Source organism: Homo sapiens, chromosome 3 (genome assembly GCF_000001405.40).
Source record: "Homo sapiens chromosome 3, GRCh38.p14 Primary Assembly".
In the NCBI taxonomy this organism is placed as follows: Eukaryota; Metazoa; Chordata; class Mammalia; order Primates; family Hominidae; genus Homo; species Homo sapiens.
This window is the reverse complement of record NC_000003.12, coordinates 140962968-140982066: the sequence shown is the minus strand read 5'-3', so window position 1 is coordinate 140982066 and position 19099 is coordinate 140962968. Positions and strand designations below refer to the sequence as shown.

Genomic DNA, 19099 nt, shown 5'->3' with positions numbered 1-19099 from the left:
TCATATTGAAATGTAATCTCCAATTTTGGAAGTGGGGGTTCTGGTGGGAGATGATTGGATCATCGAAGTGAAATAATGCTTCATTTTAATTCATATTGATGTCCAGTTGCTCCAGCACAATTTTTCCAAGTTAGGAAAACAACAAAAAACCCTAAAAATCAGTATCTAATTTAGGAAGGTATAGATCAAATAGTCTGGGCCACTAAAACACTTAAGCTCATACTAAGGAGATCGATCATATTGGAGAACCTTAAAAGGTAAGATTCAGAAGTAATGGCTGAAGAATGTTAGGGCTATTTATCCTTGACAATGACTCAAGGAGGAATTCTACAGTGCATTGGAAGAGCAGGGAGGGGACTGGGAAACAGAAAATCAGAGGTCTAGTACTAAATTGTTTGGTTGGATTTGATAAGCTCCTGAGTTACATTAGGTTTGGAATCCTGGTCTACCCCTGGTTTTAAAATCTCAAGACATTTACACCTTTTGAGTCAATTCCTAGGAGATAAGAACAAAAGAAAATGGGTTATTTTTCCTAACTTGGGCTAAAACACTTTGACCTTTAACAAAGAATGCCCCTCCCCATGTCAGCCTGTAAAATTTTTTATCTGTTTCAAAGCCTAGTTAAAATGCCATTTTCTCCATGCAACCAAGATTTTGCTAAAAGAATTACTACTTTCAGAGAACACAGATCACCTTCTGACACTCCCGAGGCTCAAAGACAGTATTAATTAAGAGCAACTTACATAAGACAAACTAGTATCTGTTAAGTCTGGCTTTCTAGGATGTTGCTAATCATTCTTTGGGAGAAAAAAACCTTGAGAGGTTCTCCACTGGCCTCAGGATGTAACCTAAGGTCTATATACGTTAGCTTCTAGACAGTTCATACTGTTCTTATGTATTCAACTCTGTTCCTGATTACTTCCTAATGTTTCATTCAGAGCCAACTTCTATCCATCTTTCCTTTAGAACGAAGTTTCTAAAACATCTATCTATTGTCAAGTGCTGGTGAATAACCTAGTGTAGTAAATAAAAAAACACAGGACTAAGATTCAGAGCACTCAAGTCAAAAACTCCAGTTGTAACTAATATTCCTCTGTATTTATTGGATCTATAGGCTATTAAGAAATCACATGACACCACTGTATAAACACAGCACTCTATGAACATAAATCTTGAATTGATTCAATACATATTAAGGCAGTCAGCTGGTCTACACAGTGCGAAAATAAAGAAACAGAAGGGAAGTCAGGCTGAGGCAGAATCGCTTGAACCCGGGAGGCAGAGGTTGCAGTGACCTGAGATCATGTCATTGCACTCCAGCATGGGTGACAAGAGTGAAGCTCCGTGTATATATATTAAAAGGGGGGGGGGGCAGGGGGAACATTTAATTACATTTTGCTTGCCTGAGTTTTATCAGTGTATAAATGTCACACTAGAACCTTAAGAAATCATGAACTCACAAATTACTTCCCTATCACGGCTCCCAATGTTCAGTAATAAACACACACACACAACTTGGAACACCTGTGCTCAATTTTAACCATTATTTTGCCAGTGCCTTCAGTGCAGAGTACTATTAGTAGAACCAACAATTTCAGATTTATGTCAATGTTGAAATACAAAATATATTTCGTCCTGGTTTCCTCAAGACTGGACAATGTTTGATGTTAACTACAATACAGAAAAACTTAAATAAAATAGACAAAATGTAAAGAGGGTAGGCACTACATAGCATTTTATCTTTGTCATTTGTATTTTGATCTAACATTATGTGGATTCATTTGGTTATTCTAACAAGTTCTCACCTCTGTATTTTTAATATCAACTTTCACAAAGGCTGAAATTAAAACATGAAAAGTGTTGGATAAAAGTCAATAAACCTGTGGAAGATATGCAAGATTTCTTTGTACACTATGAGGGAGTTGGATTACTTGACCTTTGGGTTCCTTCAGACATCACTAGATCTAACAGATACAAAGTGCTCAAGATAAGGTTTGCTGACTGAATCAAGCGAGCCTAAAACTTAACCTGAAAATGGCAATGGATTTTTGTTCCACACATAGGATAATCCAAAAAAGTGTGATTATGTTCTCAATAAAATGTTGATATATTACAGAAAAAGCCATATTTTCATGAGCGTATTTTAATTTTTAAAATTTGAACAATTCAAGTAAAAGTCAGCTAGATAACATAAATACAGAGTAAATGCACATAATTTACAGCCATGTACATAAATGCAAGATACCAAACCTCACATGAATAGTCAAAAGTTAACACTTTTGAGGTTCACTATTTAGCTATGACTGATAGGTCATAATTCTTCACATAAACGGGGTACACATTCCAAAAGTTTATAAACACAAAAACTGAGTCAAACCAGAATTTTGTTTCTACAAGGAGTAGCATAAAAATCAGTGTGTAGGTTAATGGGAAATACTAAGTACATGATGGAGAAGAGATCTGAGTGGGCAGAAAGTTTGTACATTGTATTTTATGTATTAAAATTCCTCAAATTTAAATCATTCAGAAATACCTATATTCTTAGGAATGTTAAAGTCATTATATATTTGAGGAGAAAAGGCTGAACTGTACTTATCAGCTCCAAAGGGGGTCCCTAGATTACTAACAGTCTGGGCAGAAGAGCATGTAAACAACAAAAGGCAGGCATGGACAATTATTGAAGGGCAAGAAATGGATTGATTTTTAGCACTTAAATCCTTCAAATCCGAATAAATATTTTTAGTGATTTAAAACCAACCTAAAAATGCTGAAATGTCTGTAACCCAGTAATAGAGCAAACATTATTTTTACCAACCCAAACTCTGCTGGTCCTAACATAGTAATGCTATCTCACAGATAATCTAATGATATTCTATCCTGACTTCAAAGTTACAAATTCACTGTGGTGGACCCATCTAGAAAGGATGGTTCTACAAAGTTACATAATGAGAATCAAACGAACTTTTGGTGATAGTTTTTTTCCTGGGATTAAAACCACTGCATGGTATCCCGAAATCACAAACGCTAATTCTTCAGATTTGAACTTTGAAATTTAAAAGTACAACAAACTAAATAATGTGGACTCTACACCAGAAATAAAAAAGTCATGATAAACAGATGAAAACAAGTTAAAAAAGTCCAATGCTCTGAATATGTGTTTTTGTTTTTAAACATGAGTCGATTTTTTAAAAACTTCAAAGAAATATTTCAGAGACAAACTTTATATACAACTTTTATATATAGTTTTCCTTTTTGAATTATCTCTGTCATACATAAACTATTGCAGATTGTGCTTAGGGAAAAATACAACTGAAATAAACTTCATTGCTCCTTTCTAGTTGTTGCACAAATAAACAATGTCCAAGACTCTAAGATTTCTTTGCTTTCCAGTACATACATAATACTGTTAAAAGCTGAATATAATGCACTAAAGGTCAACACAAGTTTTACTTGCTAAATACAAATAGAGAATATATGTTTATCCTTGAAGGACACTTGTTATGAATATGCTACAACTAAATAATAAGATGTTCCTTAGCTGCTGGTTTTCATATCATTCTTAATCATTTGTGGGGTACTGAGATCAGTAAGACTAGGGAGAGTCTCTATCTTACATTCAACACAATGAATGTTTATGGGTCTTCACAAGGCAAATGGCACTGTATTAGGCAGTAGAAATGGCACCTGAAAAGGCAAACACGATAGATTCAGACCTTCTCTACAGATTTGTTACAAACCGGTTTTTGGTACGTTCCTCATAATACATGTCAAAGCTGAAATTTACCATAAAAGGTACGAATAATTCCAAAGGTAAGAAAACTGATTTTGCCTTTGGTCTCCAAATAGATTGGAATATTTTTATTCCAATTGAGCACCTCAAAAACATCCAGTTACTGTTGATCACAAGGAAGTTAAAGTGGGGGAATTTAACAGGGCACTATGTTTCACTGGTGACAGCAGAGAAAGCTTGCAATGACACGCTGCAATATTCTATAATGTTGGGGGTACGACAGGGTACACAGAATACCTAAAACATTTATATTAAGGATATCCGAAACAACATATTTAAAACCCAGAAAAATGTTATGAACACTGTTTCTGCCTAATACGTGACCAATGTTTTTGTTTTTTTTTTTAATCTTAACATGGTATTCTCTCCTACTCTCTCACCCTCCCCCCCAAAAAAGGCCACAAAGTGCTTTCACGAAGCGTCATTCTTTTAGATAAAGCCATTGCACAAAATGTACAGTTCAGGTATACTGAAATGAGTACCACACCGGCGTCCAATTGCGGCAGTTTTTATACACCAGTATGGCATAGGCGAAGTCTTTTAACAGAATTACAGCAAACACCTTTATAAGGGCCATACAAATAACACATTTAAAGTATTAAAAGGTACAGCTGACTCAATAGCAGAATTTAAAAGCTACATCCTATTAGCACATTTAACCCAAATGAACTTGAATCTTTCTATGATTTACCACGCAGGAAACTAGGACAGAATAAATTTCTTGTCAAAAGCAGTTTGTTCATTTACACAAAACTATAAGTCAATTAATGTCACTACCTGCTAAAGCAGACAGCAAGGGGGCCCTTGTCTATAATATTTATACTGTCCCAAATATTGTCACCTTAAAATGGCAAAACTTTAAATTACTATTTTCTTTACAAAATAAATGTAATCTATTATATATAGACCTGGAAAAAACTCAAAAGTTCAAATTCTTAATGTGAAAGCAAGTAGGTAAAGATTCAAAAGTGAAAAAATCTTTTACACTTTATGTAAATGATACTTAAGTATGACAAAGAGGTGATAATTCAAGTTCGTAACTAGTAAGTCACTAAAAAGATAAATGCATTCATTCATGTACCACAAAATCAGAGAAGACACGAGGACATGCCGCAGTCAGTGAAAAAGCCGAGAAATCAACATTTTACTAGTTATTTTGTCCCAAACTATTACCATGTGTGTTTGGTATGTTAACAATTTAAATATCCACATTAGGCTAAACAACAAGCACCTGTCAGCAGTGGAAACCAAAACATTTTGATGCTAAAAAATATACAAGATATTTAGACGCTATTTCATTGGTTGTCAAAAACAGTGACTACTGCCAAATAATTAAATTTAAAATATTGTGCCAGGTCCTCTCAGGGAAATGTGAAAATAATACTGACGATCTCATTGTCATTGCTGTTATTTTACTGGAATTAAACAAAGGCCAGAAGTTATAAATTTATGACTGCCAATACTATCTTTGGATAGTTACAATACAGTATGTAAAATTAAGGATGGCTTTGTTTAGAAGACTGCCATAAATCAACAAAACCCAACTGTGTCTGGGGGACATGGTAGAGAAAATGGCAATTTTGAGAGAGGAGTGCTTCTAAAGGCATTTCCTTGGAGGCTCTGAGGTTTTTTTTTTTTTTCACATTACCGAAAGGCCAAGTAATGTGGTGTGATTACTATAATTCCTACAACAAAACTTCCACTTAGAATAGTTACATGTTCCCAAACTATTTTTCTTCTGTCTGCCATGCTGGCTTCTGTATCCCATGGTCCACTGTAATCTTTTGGTCTTCTTTTTTTGCAGTACAGCAGTCCTCGTGCTGCTATCCATTGAGTAGGTAAACCACCAATTCATAGGTGGCCATCATAATGGCTGTGTTTGGAATCTGTCTCACTAGATGAGTTGTCAGACCACGATAAAGAGACCCATAACCTTCTTCTTGAACAAGCAAAGATAGAGTCTGAAAAAAAGATCTGTATTTTGTTCCCTCTTCACGTAGTCTTGTTCTTACAACTTCTGTGTAGGAAAGAAATAAAATTAAACATTACTGATATCTTTACACTCTTCTAATTATAACTGAGCACATCCCATTTATCAGTCTGTAAGTGTAAGCTCAGGATAAAAAAGGATGGCTTCTAATGTGTAGCTTATTGAAACCAGTCACATTATAGTAACATCAAACTTCTAATATGGCCAAAATCATGTACATTAATTATAGACTTTATAGTCTTTGAATGTAAAAAGACACAATATAACAAGAGAGAAGTATCAGTTGTATGCTAGATAAACAGATAAAAGGAAGAATAGAAATGAGAAGGAGGAAAAGGTGAAGAGGCAGTAAAGAGGTGGCATCCAGGATGAATATAAAAAGGATACAGTGAGAAACAAGCAGAAAAGATTTGTTTAAAGTGAGTACTACAAAGAAACAATAGCATTATTAATCTATTCAAAACAGTCCACATATATGAATGTGAAACATCATGTGGACAAAGAAGTTGACAATGTTCCAAACACTAGCTGCCAGCTATAAAACCCAGTCTGGGAATCAGGTAAGCAAAAATAATAAATTTTTAAGAGCTGAATGAACCTTAAAGATTAGTCAGTCCAATTTTTCCTCATTTTAAAAGGTGAGAAATTGGAGCTACTGAGAAATTTTGGCCAGTTGTGGGTAGAAGCTGGGACAAGAACTCACAGCTTCCTATGTAACTACTTTTTTTTACATCCACTATTCCTCAAATTTTTTCAGCACAGTATTCCAGATGGGCCTAGGGAAATAGTCTAAAGCAACCCACAGCAATTGTAACTATTTACTTGAAATCTGTTCTGTCTTAAAGATTCGTGCCATTTAACTCCAAAATGTCCTGTTTGGACAGGTGTGGTGGCTCATGCCTGAGCCTGACTAGCATTCTGGGAGGCCGAGGTGGGAGAATCGCTTGAGCCCAGAGTTTGAGACCAGCCTGGGGAACCCAGCAAGACTATGTCTCTACTAAAAATTAAAAAATTAGCTGGGCATAGTGGCCTGAGCTCATAGTCCCAGCTACTTGGGAGGCTGGGGCAGGAGGATTAATTGAGCCTTGGAGTTCAAGGTTGCAGGGAGCTATGATCATGTGACTGCACTCAAGCCTGGGTGACACAGTGAGATCCTATCAAAAAAAAAAAAAAAAAAAAAAAAAAAAAAGAATGTATCTTGTTTATCAACTGTACCTCTTCCTGTAATGACATCATCTCACTTCAAGGGAAAAGACTGTTTAAACCCCAAAACTCTGTTCCTTACACCTTAGCAGGCCACCATCCTAACCTACCCCATAGGTCAGTATCTAAACAATATTGCTGATACTGTCCTATTTTGACTTCTTTTAGAAAAGTCAGGAACTTCCTTCAGGAAACTGAGATAAGTTCATAGTCCAACCTGGTTAAAGAGTTGGTTTCATAAATTACTATTAGAGCAAATACACATTTTCTAGGCCTGGCTCATTTTTCCTGATATAATATACAATGGAGACGGTAAATATTAATCAGTGTAAGTGAACAAAAATGAAGCGCTTACATTAAAAAACAAATCTTAAACATGCAAAAATCAAAAGCGACACTTAAAACAACCAAAAAAGCTACCAAAAAACCTCAGCATGTAGCAGATAAATTCTTAAGTGATTTACCTAGCTATTAATGAAATAGGCTATTATAAAATTTAAATACAGAAATAAAAGGAATTATTAACACATACTTATTTGCCAACATGAAATAATGTAAAATAGCTTGGTCTTTGGGATTACAGACTTTAATTCAAATTTGGGCTTCACCATTAAGTAGGTATGTGACCTTGGGCAAGTTATTTCATGTTTACATTTCTTTTCAGTATTCAATTTGAAAAGGAGAACAATTCTGGTTATGTTCTAGCATAACAGGGAAAATAAGTACTTTAGAGAATTTTTATGTAGATTAGTAATGTATGTAAACTATCTAGTATAGCACCTACATACATACTTTTTTCAAAACTTAGAAACTTGCCCAAAAGTCACCAAGCTGAAGTGAGTAAGGCTGGAATTTGACTGACTTCAGAGCTCATGCTCAATCACCACCATGCTATTTGATAGCATAATACTGACCTATTAATACAGCCTACATTACTTAACCAGATTTAATCTCATTATGAACTCCCAATAATTGTATTTTGTTATACCAGAATGCAGTAAAATTATAAATGCTTTAATAAGTGAGCTGTTGGCTGGGGTGGGAAAATATTTCTGATTTAATAGATAACTCTTCTTACCATGTGGATATGCTATAGTTGTGGCACAAGTTTTTGAGGTGGCAGCAGCTAGCATCATTCCCACAAAATCTGATGCTTCTTTCACAGACTCTTCATCATTTTCCATTGTAGAAGCAGTCTTATATTCCAGTAGTTTTTGTTTTATACTTTCATAAATAACAAAATGGATAACAGTCTCTGATATACCAGCATATGAAGCAGACATGCCCCTATAAAATCCTTTTAGTCCATCTGTCTGATACACTTTACGAACACATTCAAAAGCACCCATTCGCCTTTCCCCGCGGTTCCTGAAAAGCAAAAAGAAACATCTTACTGATAGGTTTTTTAAAGTAAGTAAAATATAATAAAATATGTCATTCTAATAATAAAAGAATGGCCTTCTTTAACTCATGAAGAATTAGAATTTTAAAACAATATTCATATTTTAGATTTCCTATTCTTTTGTCCCAAATTTGTCATATTAAATGGGTGATATGTAAATAGTTTATTTTACTGAATGCAAAATGCACTACACTGAATCTTCGGTCTCATGTCCTCATTGGGGTTCACATGGCAGGGATAAGCAACAAAATCCTTTAGGAACTATACACCCTGACTGCAGCTCAAGACAAAAACAAAACAAAGTAAACAAAAATCCTCACACTGTATTAATTCCAGTTCTAAGTAAGCTGAATTTCCTTTGCATTTAGTAACATAAATAGAATGACTGAGACACCAATGATGATAGAATATCATAAACCAGGCAGTATGATTAACTAAAATTCTGTGCACCTGAGGGATTCTCTTTCAACCCCACTCATATTCTCCCAAGAAGTGATAGGGTGAATGTAAGTCAAATTCCCTATGATCATTTAAAGGCAATGGTCATATCAGTCTCCCTGGTGACTAGTAAATGAGAAACTGTAGTGTTATATTTATTCAGTACTCTTCCTAATACAATTTCCTTAGTTCTACTTAAGGGGGCAGCACCTACTCTTATAGAATACAACATCTCCTACACATGTAATTTTGAGTTTTAACAATATTTGTTACCTTACACTGATTCCCCCAACAGGTCCTTATCTATAAGAGACAGGTTTAAATGCTACCTACTAAAAAAACAGAAAATTTACCTATTTATAAATTATACCTAACTTGTTTCTGACATAAAATAAAATCACAACTACAACACCCACTTAATTACCTACAGATTCCACCAGTTTTATGAATGGATTGTCTTTAGATATTGAATACCTATTAGATAAATGATCCACAAACCAACTGTAACTAGTTTCATTAAAGATCCTTCCTCACAAGAAAGTTAAAAGAGATACAAATCCTGAAAGGTGACATATCAGCCCTATTTTTATTTTTTTATTAATTTTTTTCTTTTTCTTTTTTTTCTTTTTTAACAGATGGAGTCTCCATGGTGCAATCATGGCTCACTGCAGCCTCAAACTCCTGGGCTCAAGCAATCCTCCCACCTCAGCCTCCCAGGTAGCTAGGATTATAGGCATGCATTTTTTATAGAGATTAAGTCTTGCAATGTTGCCCAGGCTGTTCTTAAACTCCTGGCCTCAAGCAATCCTCCTGCCCTGGCCTCTCAAAGCTCTGGGATTACAGGCATGATCCACTGCGCTCAGCCCTCAGCCTTATAAACCAGAATCCTCAAGTCAACCTTTCATTATTACCCCACCCCTATCCAATTCCCCAACCCCACAAGCCTAAGAATTGTGCCAGCTTGTGTTACAATTATAAGTGGAAAAAAATAATATTAAAGAGTTTTAAGTCATGCTTTTCCTGGATTCCTCATAGAGCAACGCTAAACATAGTGAAACCTAACTCTGGTAGTTTACAATAGAATAATGTGGACTAGCATCTTGTACTTTCTAATCTTTGGAATAAGTCTTAGCTACCACTACTTTTCAGATATGTGGCTTTAAGAAATAAACTTGGAGTTTTGCTACAACACTTAAGATTTCATTAAAAGATCTATTTCAGATGAAACAATTAGATATTTCTTTTCAAGTTTCCAAATAGTATATAGTTCAACATAACAGAAGATGGAAAACAGATATTTAAGCAGGCATAATTGTTAATGATTTATTAGATCAGTTTTACCTAAAGCCTATAGGACATAACACTATTTCCCAAACACCAAAATATAAAAACAGTAGAAACATGTTATACACAGAACCTACTCCAGACTGAAAGTCTAAAATAGTTTAAAACCATTAACATTATTATTGTAACATATAAGATAGGACCATCTCGTTACTTAAGAGTCTCTATTCTAAAGCCAGTAGGAGAGTTGAGATGGCAAGACCCTACGCAGCACTGCTTTTGGCCTACTCTCAGTTCCCAGAACACCAAAGGCCCTACACTTTAGAACCTCTGAGGTTTGCACCGATTGGTTCCTCAGCTTAAAATGGGTTCAAAAAACCTTTCCTTGATTATTCCATTTAAAATAAGTCCCCACTGTTTCCTGGTGCATCTCTAAGACGTAGCAGTATCTGCTAATATAGATTTGTTGAATGAATGAATCTTGCTATTATAAAGTGGTCAGTGGTAACAGACGATATATGAGAACTGTCTGTCAGCCTAGGGTTCTCTATTCACAAGGTCACTAAATTTGAGCAATGATCCTCAAAGATTCAGTCTAGACTAGCTGACCTTGTGGCTTACTTAGCTTCTGCGAGGCCAATTATAAGTACCCATGTAAGGAAAGTATTACCTTTTGGGCTGGGTTAATCTATCTCTTTCTTTCCTTTCTGTTTCTCTATGGTATCTTTCTAGCCACTCTTTTTAAAACAAAACAAAACAAAACAACACATATTAATAATATACTTTTTTCACCTGGAAAAGTTCATATTGTCAACTCTTACATTATCTTTTTTCTGATGGCAGACCCAAGTTTCAAAATTAAACTACAACAACAAACAAATTCAGCAGCAAAGGAAAGAAAAACTTTGTAGAAAAAAAATTAGTTAAATCCACTTTAACCAATTTTATTTTAAGGAATTAACATACCTTGCATCAAGCTGTAACCGAGTCTTTATAAGCCAAATGGGGTTGGTTGCTGTGATTGCAGTAAAACCTAAACAAACATGTTTAAAATGAACTCTGGTAAAAATGAAGAATTCACTATTAACTTTAAGGTTTTAAAAATTAGATAAATCTACATTCAAGAAAATGTATATAAATAAACTACTAATTTATGTATATATTACACTTTTCACATACGACAAACATTTGTCTTCACTTCCAATCTATATGAATTCTCAAATTCTGTCCTTAACTAACAGATTCTTTTAAAAGCAAAATGAATATAAATTGCTTTCCCAACCTACTTAGAATATCCTTTAGGGTGCTCTCTACTGTCTAAGCTGAATTCAGAAATCCATCTCTACAAACACATAGACATTTTGTGTATTCTACGGCTAAAAAGCATGCACTTGGGATCCTTAAAACCAGCTAAAAAAAACAGTTACCTGGGGTTTGATTAGCATCCCAAATCACTACATTCAAAATGAATTCTACACAAATGTCAAATTTTACCAATAGTTTGATCTTTAGTTGATTATATAGTGGAAAAGACTGTTGTTTGGCCCCATGAATACTTTCTACATATATACATACTAATACTGTTAAAATAACCGTATCACAGTAAGGTTTTTGTTAGGGTTAATAGGACAGGCCTATCGTCATTTACTTAAACACATACAAAAACTCAAAAGTTCAAAAAGTCACAAATTGGAAGTTCCCTCTTTTATAGACATGGAATAAACTCAGGGTAGAAGACAGCTCTAGTTTACTTTAAAACTAAAGTATTATGTACTAGGTATTGGTGCAGAATGGTGGTCACCTAAGATGGCTCATTCCAGGTAGTAAATTAAGATCTACCTGGAACAGTATGTTTCTAGGATAGTGCATATGTTTTACTTGCCACCTTCCTAGCTATGGAAAAATAGCACACAAAATACAGTCTTGATGACAGAAACTTATAAAGATTGCTTCATCTACACAAAACAGGGTTTTAATTTACACAGACTTCATAGAACTACTTACGTTAAGTTACATTTACTCAATAAAAAATTATATGCAGAAATGTTTAAGGATCTTAACTGTTTTAATATTTCTATCAAATACTAGTGGGTCAGGCACATTCTTTTTATAAAGGTGGCTAATGATCAGTACATTTAAGATGAGTAAAGTACTTACAGGAACAGAAATGCTACAATATACTTAAGAATAATTTGTTTTTAAATTAATATAGTACAGATCCAATCATAAACCTTTCTTGGCTTTCAAAGGTGTATCTACATATGCAAAATAATTACACTAAATTGTTTCCAAAGCTGAATTTGGTCTCACAGGGTTCTTTTCTATGTCAGTAACTGAGTAACTCAAATTTTACTTCCTCAACCCACTGTTTTAACATTGTAGAAATAGCCAGACGTTATACAAATGGATGCTCCAATTAAATCTATTTAGCAAGCAAGATAAATGGGATACAAATTCAATTTAAATAATTCCTTTAATACTTTTATAAAGATTATATATTCTACATTTCTCTTAAGTGCTTTTAATACTACATATGTAAGTATAAAACTAGAATGGGACCAACAGTTTTAGACGCATCAGCAGGTACTAAACTGATAAAATTTAAAGTGTTGAGCAGGCTGCCAGGAACATCTTTTTAAATAAAAGGTTCTTTTCATGCATATATTCTTGGTAAAAGAAAAGAAAAGAAAAACATGAAACTATCAGACCAGTTTAAATATTTTCTTGCATGGTTCTAGCTTAACTGAGAATAAAGTTATAGAGTATTATTTTTCTCTTCTTTTGAACCTCATTTTTCTACATGAAAAGGCTAGGATATTCAAATTATATTTTAAAGCAATCAGACATCAATATTCTGGTCAAACTCCAATTTAATGATTCTTGTTTTGTAAACTTAAATATTTGTAATAGCTAAATATGTCTGTACAGCAAAATTAAGGGTTTATGAGTAAAAAGCTGCTAAGCAGCATAAACCAACAAAATATTCTGCATCACTATAATGATTTTTATTAATCATTTTATAGAAATCTTAAGAAAAACTATTTGCTTTTTATTGAATTTTAAAAGCTTAAAACTGGGAATCTTTACATCAAACTTTTTAAAAAACAGCCAATCTAGGTAAAAATTCTCATTCATCTTATTATACTTATTTGAAAAGAAGATGAGCACCTAAGTTTTTTTTTTTTTAAATAAAAGTTCTACTTCTAAAAACATAAATTTTAAGCAGTACCCAAGCTTCTGTCCATAATACTCTTCCAAGTCACAAAAGAATTTGAGGCTGGAAAAAAACCCATATATAAAAAACTTTACAATAGTACAATAAATTTTTATAAATGTTGTTAGGAACAAAACCTTTTAAAGACCCATAAATTATAATTTTAAATTATTCTCTGTACATATTACTATAATGTCAGAAAGCAAACAACAGGTATTTCTCACTTAACTAAAATTCATTTCCAAGCACAAATTAACCTATGTAACAGGACACATTAAAATTTAGGTAAGTGAGAGAATGTTATCTTATCCCTACGTAATTGCTATTATCAGTAAGCTATGTTTACTATGGTTGCTCTGGCTCAACTCTCCCAATGAGAGCTAGCTCTTTATAAAGACACTAACCTAAATGCCAGCAAACCATTGGGTTAGGTAAAGAATCTAGACACAATCCACAGTTTTAGCTATTAGCCCTTTACCGCTAAAAACTCAGGTCCTTGAGTTTTATGCTATTACTTTCTCCTAACCAAAGACACTTTAACAAACTAAATAGACATTACTAGGCTAATTACATCTAATAAATATAATCTAATAATCTAAGAAATGAAGCCAATGGAAAAAAACAAAAATTTATCGTAACTTAGCATTATATATGGTAAGGCAATTTGAGGTTAGCCCAAGCTAAACATATCTTCCCACTACTTATATGACAAACACACACAAAGATACTGGGAATGGTGCCCCTGAAATTTAGAAATTGCCTATTACTTTTTATTTTGCATTTTAATTTTGTGACATTTTCATAATTTGCCAATTTATATTAAGATTCTGAGCACCTAGTGAAACATGAAAATGAACTTAAGACGACATGAGGGATCCATTTGTAAGTTAAGAAGAACTAATATTGCTCCACAGTCAGTTAAAGCAAAGTGCCAATATATTGGCCATACTCTTAGTAGGATGGTTAGTATGTTAGAAAGCTTAAAAAATTTTTAAAAATGCTACTTTAAAAGTTTTGCTTTATCTAAGTAAGATTCCATTTGATAGTGTCGAGCAATTAAAAACCAGATTAACAGAAAAATTCTGCTTAAACTTGCTGAAAATGTTGATTTCATTAAGTGAGTGATACCTGTAGTGTTGCATTTTCAGTACTTTTTATTTCAACTTCTGTAAGAACAAAGCCCACCTAACCTCCTAAATGTATTAACACCACTTTTAAAAGTAATTAAAACTAAAACAGCTAAGATCCCATATATTCTTATCCTGCATTTATTTGCAAAGTAATTAATTTTTGTTTTTTTTGCAAAAGAGTTCTAAGAAAGCCAAGTATCAACAGACAAAAAAGAATGGAAAGCATTGTATTAGGCTTTTAAATATGTTATGCTAAGCAAAGAGAACTATGATTTTATCTAAAACTTTTAAGATAGTATAATACCATTTACAGCTATATATATATTGTTATTACATTCTTTGGAGGTCAAGGCTGTTATGGCCAAGCTGAAGACCCCAGGCTTTTATTACATGATGACTGAAAAATACCTCATTCTTCCTTCTAGAAGGAATATTATAAAGGAATCAGACTTAGCAATGCACACACAAATTCAGGAAATAAAAGTTAATTTCCCGCCTTCTAATTCCACAGCTATCATAAAATCCCAGGGTGGGTTTCTTATACTACAGGCTGCAAGAGATGCTCAGATCAGTACTCACGAGGTTTAAGTTAGTCCATATTTCTACAGGAAGTGACCTGCGGATGGGGAGCATGAGATGACACGATCTCACTCTTTTCTCGGGAGAAATGTACAGTAAATGCCTAAAATAGACACAGGCTTTTCTGTATCATAACAACAAGCAGTGACCTCATCAGAAACATGTGTACAAATTGAATCCTATTGGAAGGATTTGAGAAATATTTACTGTGAGATCTAACTTTTTTGAAAATTTTAAGTTAAAAAAAAGAAAGGAATATCAAAATGGGCCATTTAAAAAAATGTACCGAGTACTGAAAATCCTGCCATCTGCAGCAGTTTCAGAATCTAAATACTTACCTAAAAGAAGATCAATTCTGCCTTAAAGAAAAAATGCTAACCTTGTCAAAAGGGAATATTTAGAGGGGATCATCATCTCCCATTTTCCTACCACTATTATCTATTATAATTAAGGAGATGAAAACACAATTTCTATCCTTTAACAATCAGCCTACTTAATAAATCTTAAAAAAAAAAAAACCAACAGAATATTCAAGTAACTTCATTTTGGAGCTATTTATATAAATTTTTAATAAAATAAAGAATACGTTGCTACAATAGTACCTTTCACCTTTTGCACTATGGCCAGTAATATTGCACATCCATACTTATGAAATATTTTGCATTATTTTGTATTTAATTTCTTGTGTTCTACAAAACAAAAAACAGGAAGAATGTTTACACACAAACACACAAAACATCTGTCCAACCATCCATCTGGCTGAATTAACTGCCATGGACAAATAAAATATTTTTAAAAAATATTTCATAAATGCAAGACAATACCTGTATTTAATGAGTAAAAGCCTTTATTATAATGAAATTTAAGTCTAATAGAAAAACATAAATTGAAAAATAACTGTATGCTGTGAGCAAATAAAACCCACTACGTATGTAGGAAACATTCAATGATTACATTATTAGTATTTTAAAAATTGAGAATAACTGTATGAATACATAATCCAATTAAAATTAGAATTCATTTCCTTTACATTTATAATGTTCTATATAAAAGTATATACATGCCAGATAAAATCTTTTAAAAATTGAGAATTAGTATAAAGAAAGAAGTAATTTAACAAATTTTTTTTGCATACATCTGTGCCTAGGTGTATACAAAGGAATATACAAGTTAATTTAAACAAAATATACAGGCAACAAAACAGATACCCTCAATAGCTGAGATATACTTAGTCTGTCAAAGGTCATGTGTAGGAGAAAAAAAAGGCAGGCAAAATATTAAGAGTCAACATTATTTAATCTGATTAAATATCCTCACAACTGAAACAAATTTTTAATGCATGAAAATTTATAGCTCAACTTTAGAGGCTTACAAATTCTTATAGTATGCACTACAACAAATAAAAAGACCCACTTTAAATAAACTGTCCTTTTAATAAAATAAATTTTTATTATCTAAATTAAACATGAGTTCATATGGATAAAATGCAAAATGAAAATGAATTGAGAGGTCACTTGGAATAAAAATTACGTACAGTGCCTTATAAATCCTTAATGTGTGTGCTATCTGGTGTGTTAAAATCTTGCAGGCAGTATCATTAATGGTTTATTTTAGTGTGGTTTTGTGTAGTAAAGTGACAAGGTTAGCATTTTTTCCCTTGAATAGACAGCTGAAAATGATTTTTCACAGAACTATCTTTAAGTACTTCATACCCCCAAATCATTCATATTTAGACCTATAAAAATAATCCTAAAAAAAACCCCGAGTAATCTGGTCTAGATTATTTCAAGAACAAAGGGGGCAAAAGCCTACTTTAATGAGTCTGCATTGGACCATTCAGTTTTACTAACCATATAGTTATGTATAAAACTGCAAAGCTAAGTGTTAATGCTCATGAATAGTGCACAGAAGCTCTGAGAGCACAGTTCTCAGAACAATGTAACTGCAAACAAATTCAAACAGTATTTTCTACACAGTAAGTGTACAGTGCAATAACCTCTGAACAAGTATGAGATTGTAAGTTTACCAAAACTTGAGGAATTCAAGTTGGGAAATGGCATCAATGTACAGATAAAAATGAACTATATGTTAACATTTGTACACATTTGAGAAAAAAGTGCAAACTGACAATTCTACTGAAATTCTTTGCAATGTGATACAAATACAGTAATAAATTCTGATGAGATACTCCAATGAAATAAGATGTTCCAGTGGAAATAAAGATATTCTGAACCTCTGCATTTGCTATACTGATATAACAAATATCAATATAAAATGACTGCTCATCTAACTTTCTAGATTCCAATTCTTTCAAATAAGATTAACATTTCTTTATAATTATCTGAGGTTATAAGCCAAAAACATAATCACTGGTAATTCAGAAATATATTTTTAAAGAACCTGATAAAGTGGTTATAAGGTTTGTCACTGGCCACCAACCTTTACCTTACATCCAAATTCGTAGGGGAAAAATCCTATCTACTAATATTCAACATCTGTAAAAATTACATTAAAAATAATTCTAGTTGTAACAAGATAATCTCTATAACACTAAATGAAAGAACTAATTCTCAAAATCCAAATCTATGTAGACCACTTGACTCATTCCATGGGTAAGCTAAGAGAGGTTCACATAAATTACATAATTTGCCCAAGGTTTCCTTATTGGTAAATGATTGTATTTCACTCTTTTGACCTTTGGATTGTCCCTTCCAGTTTTAAAGCTTCAGTGAATCAACTGACAATTAATAAATACAAAAAGCCTTAAAAACAATTTGTAATACGATAAGGGCTATTGACCTTTCAGAAATTTGTATTTCAAACTTACTTACTTCATGAAGTATATAGGTCAAATTGATTCACTTTATTTCTAAACCAAAAGTGTTTAACAGTTTAAGGCACTCATTATTAAGCACATAATTGACATTCAATTTATTGATCAATAGCTGATGAAAGCAGCTACAGTTTATAAAGTTACAGCATAATTTGAAAATGTGAGATATGAGTAAATATACAATAAATCTCAGATATTAGGGAGAATTTTCAATGGAAAATCAAAGTTCGTGGCTTTGTCTAACATGCATAGCAGCAAATGATTCCAGAACCAGATTGGTCAAACCAACTGTTTATCTTTATGGCAGGGTAAAGACCTAAAACTAGTTATTTTAATTCAGAATCATATATACTTATCAGTGATGACAGAAACAGAGAGTTCCTGGAAACATTTCTATAGTAAGCATGTACACATAGCCAGTGTCTAAATTTCAGGTGCTGTCTAGTGTGAATTATGTAGAATAATAAACAATTTTAAAAAATACACATAGTAACTGAATTGTCAATAATAATACATCACTCACAAAAATTTCAGCATTTGAGCACAGGACAAAATGAATACTTTACCAAGAATTGCCGACACATTTCAGACAGAAGCCAAAACATGCAGCAAAAAGGGAAAAGGCACTAACAGAAATTGAGGAGAGAAGAGTAAATTACAGCTCCATAACTTATTTATAGTGTAATTATGGTTGGATTCTTAAAACTGTTAACAATGATCACTAAACATTCAGTGGACTACACAAGGCAATATAAATATATTACTTGTACCCTAGCATGTAAACTCCTGACTACAAAAATGTCAACTGATGACAGATTTTACATATACCTAATTTGGTTTATATCGATAAACGTAAAAATCATCTAATCAATGAAAAGCACATTAATCATCAACTTTTCACTACAAACTTATAATTCAATATTAAGCCTCTAGGTTTCAGAAAGTTTTTTTTTTTTTTAATATTATACATTCATACCTGCCATTGCAGCTGAAATCATATGTACTTGGGTAGAATCAGGATCAAATACATCATTCAACTTTTCCTTGCAGTTTGAATAAGCAGCAAAGTATATTGCTCTAAAATAGAGATTTAGATTTATCAATAAGCATGTTCTTAATGCGTAAGATTTACATATAAATTGATCTTCATAATTTTAGAATGGAGAAATTTAAAAACCATAAAGTCCTAGCCACATTCTCATGTAACATTAGATTTACACTTTTCATAAATACTCT

General features: G+C 32.9%; 1 protein-coding gene across 10 annotated transcripts in view; it reads right to left on the bottom strand.

Annotated features, from left to right (window-relative positions):
* Positions 1 to 1071: 1071 nt before the first annotated feature.
* The window catches only part of SLC25A36 (solute carrier family 25 member 36), a 39160-nt gene continuing 21132 nt past the window's right edge, over positions 1072 to 19099 (bottom strand). For 2 of the 10 annotated variants that reach the window (NM_001104647.3, XM_047448440.1), the window contains exons 4-7: positions 18840 to 18940; positions 11074 to 11140; positions 8062 to 8351; positions 1072 to 5807 (exon numbers count right to left, since the gene is read on the bottom strand). In NM_001104647.3, the coding sequence (NP_001098117.1) occupies positions 5614 to 5807; positions 8062 to 8351; positions 11074 to 11140; positions 18840 to 18940 (652 nt within the window). In that variant the 3' untranslated portion in view covers positions 1072 to 5613. Of the gene's footprint in view, positions 5808 to 8061; positions 8352 to 11073; positions 11141 to 13336; positions 15720 to 18839; positions 18941 to 19099 lie in introns of those variants that run through there. The other 8 variants (XM_005247575.6, XR_007095700.1, XR_007095701.1 and 5 more) reach the window with 8 other exon arrangements.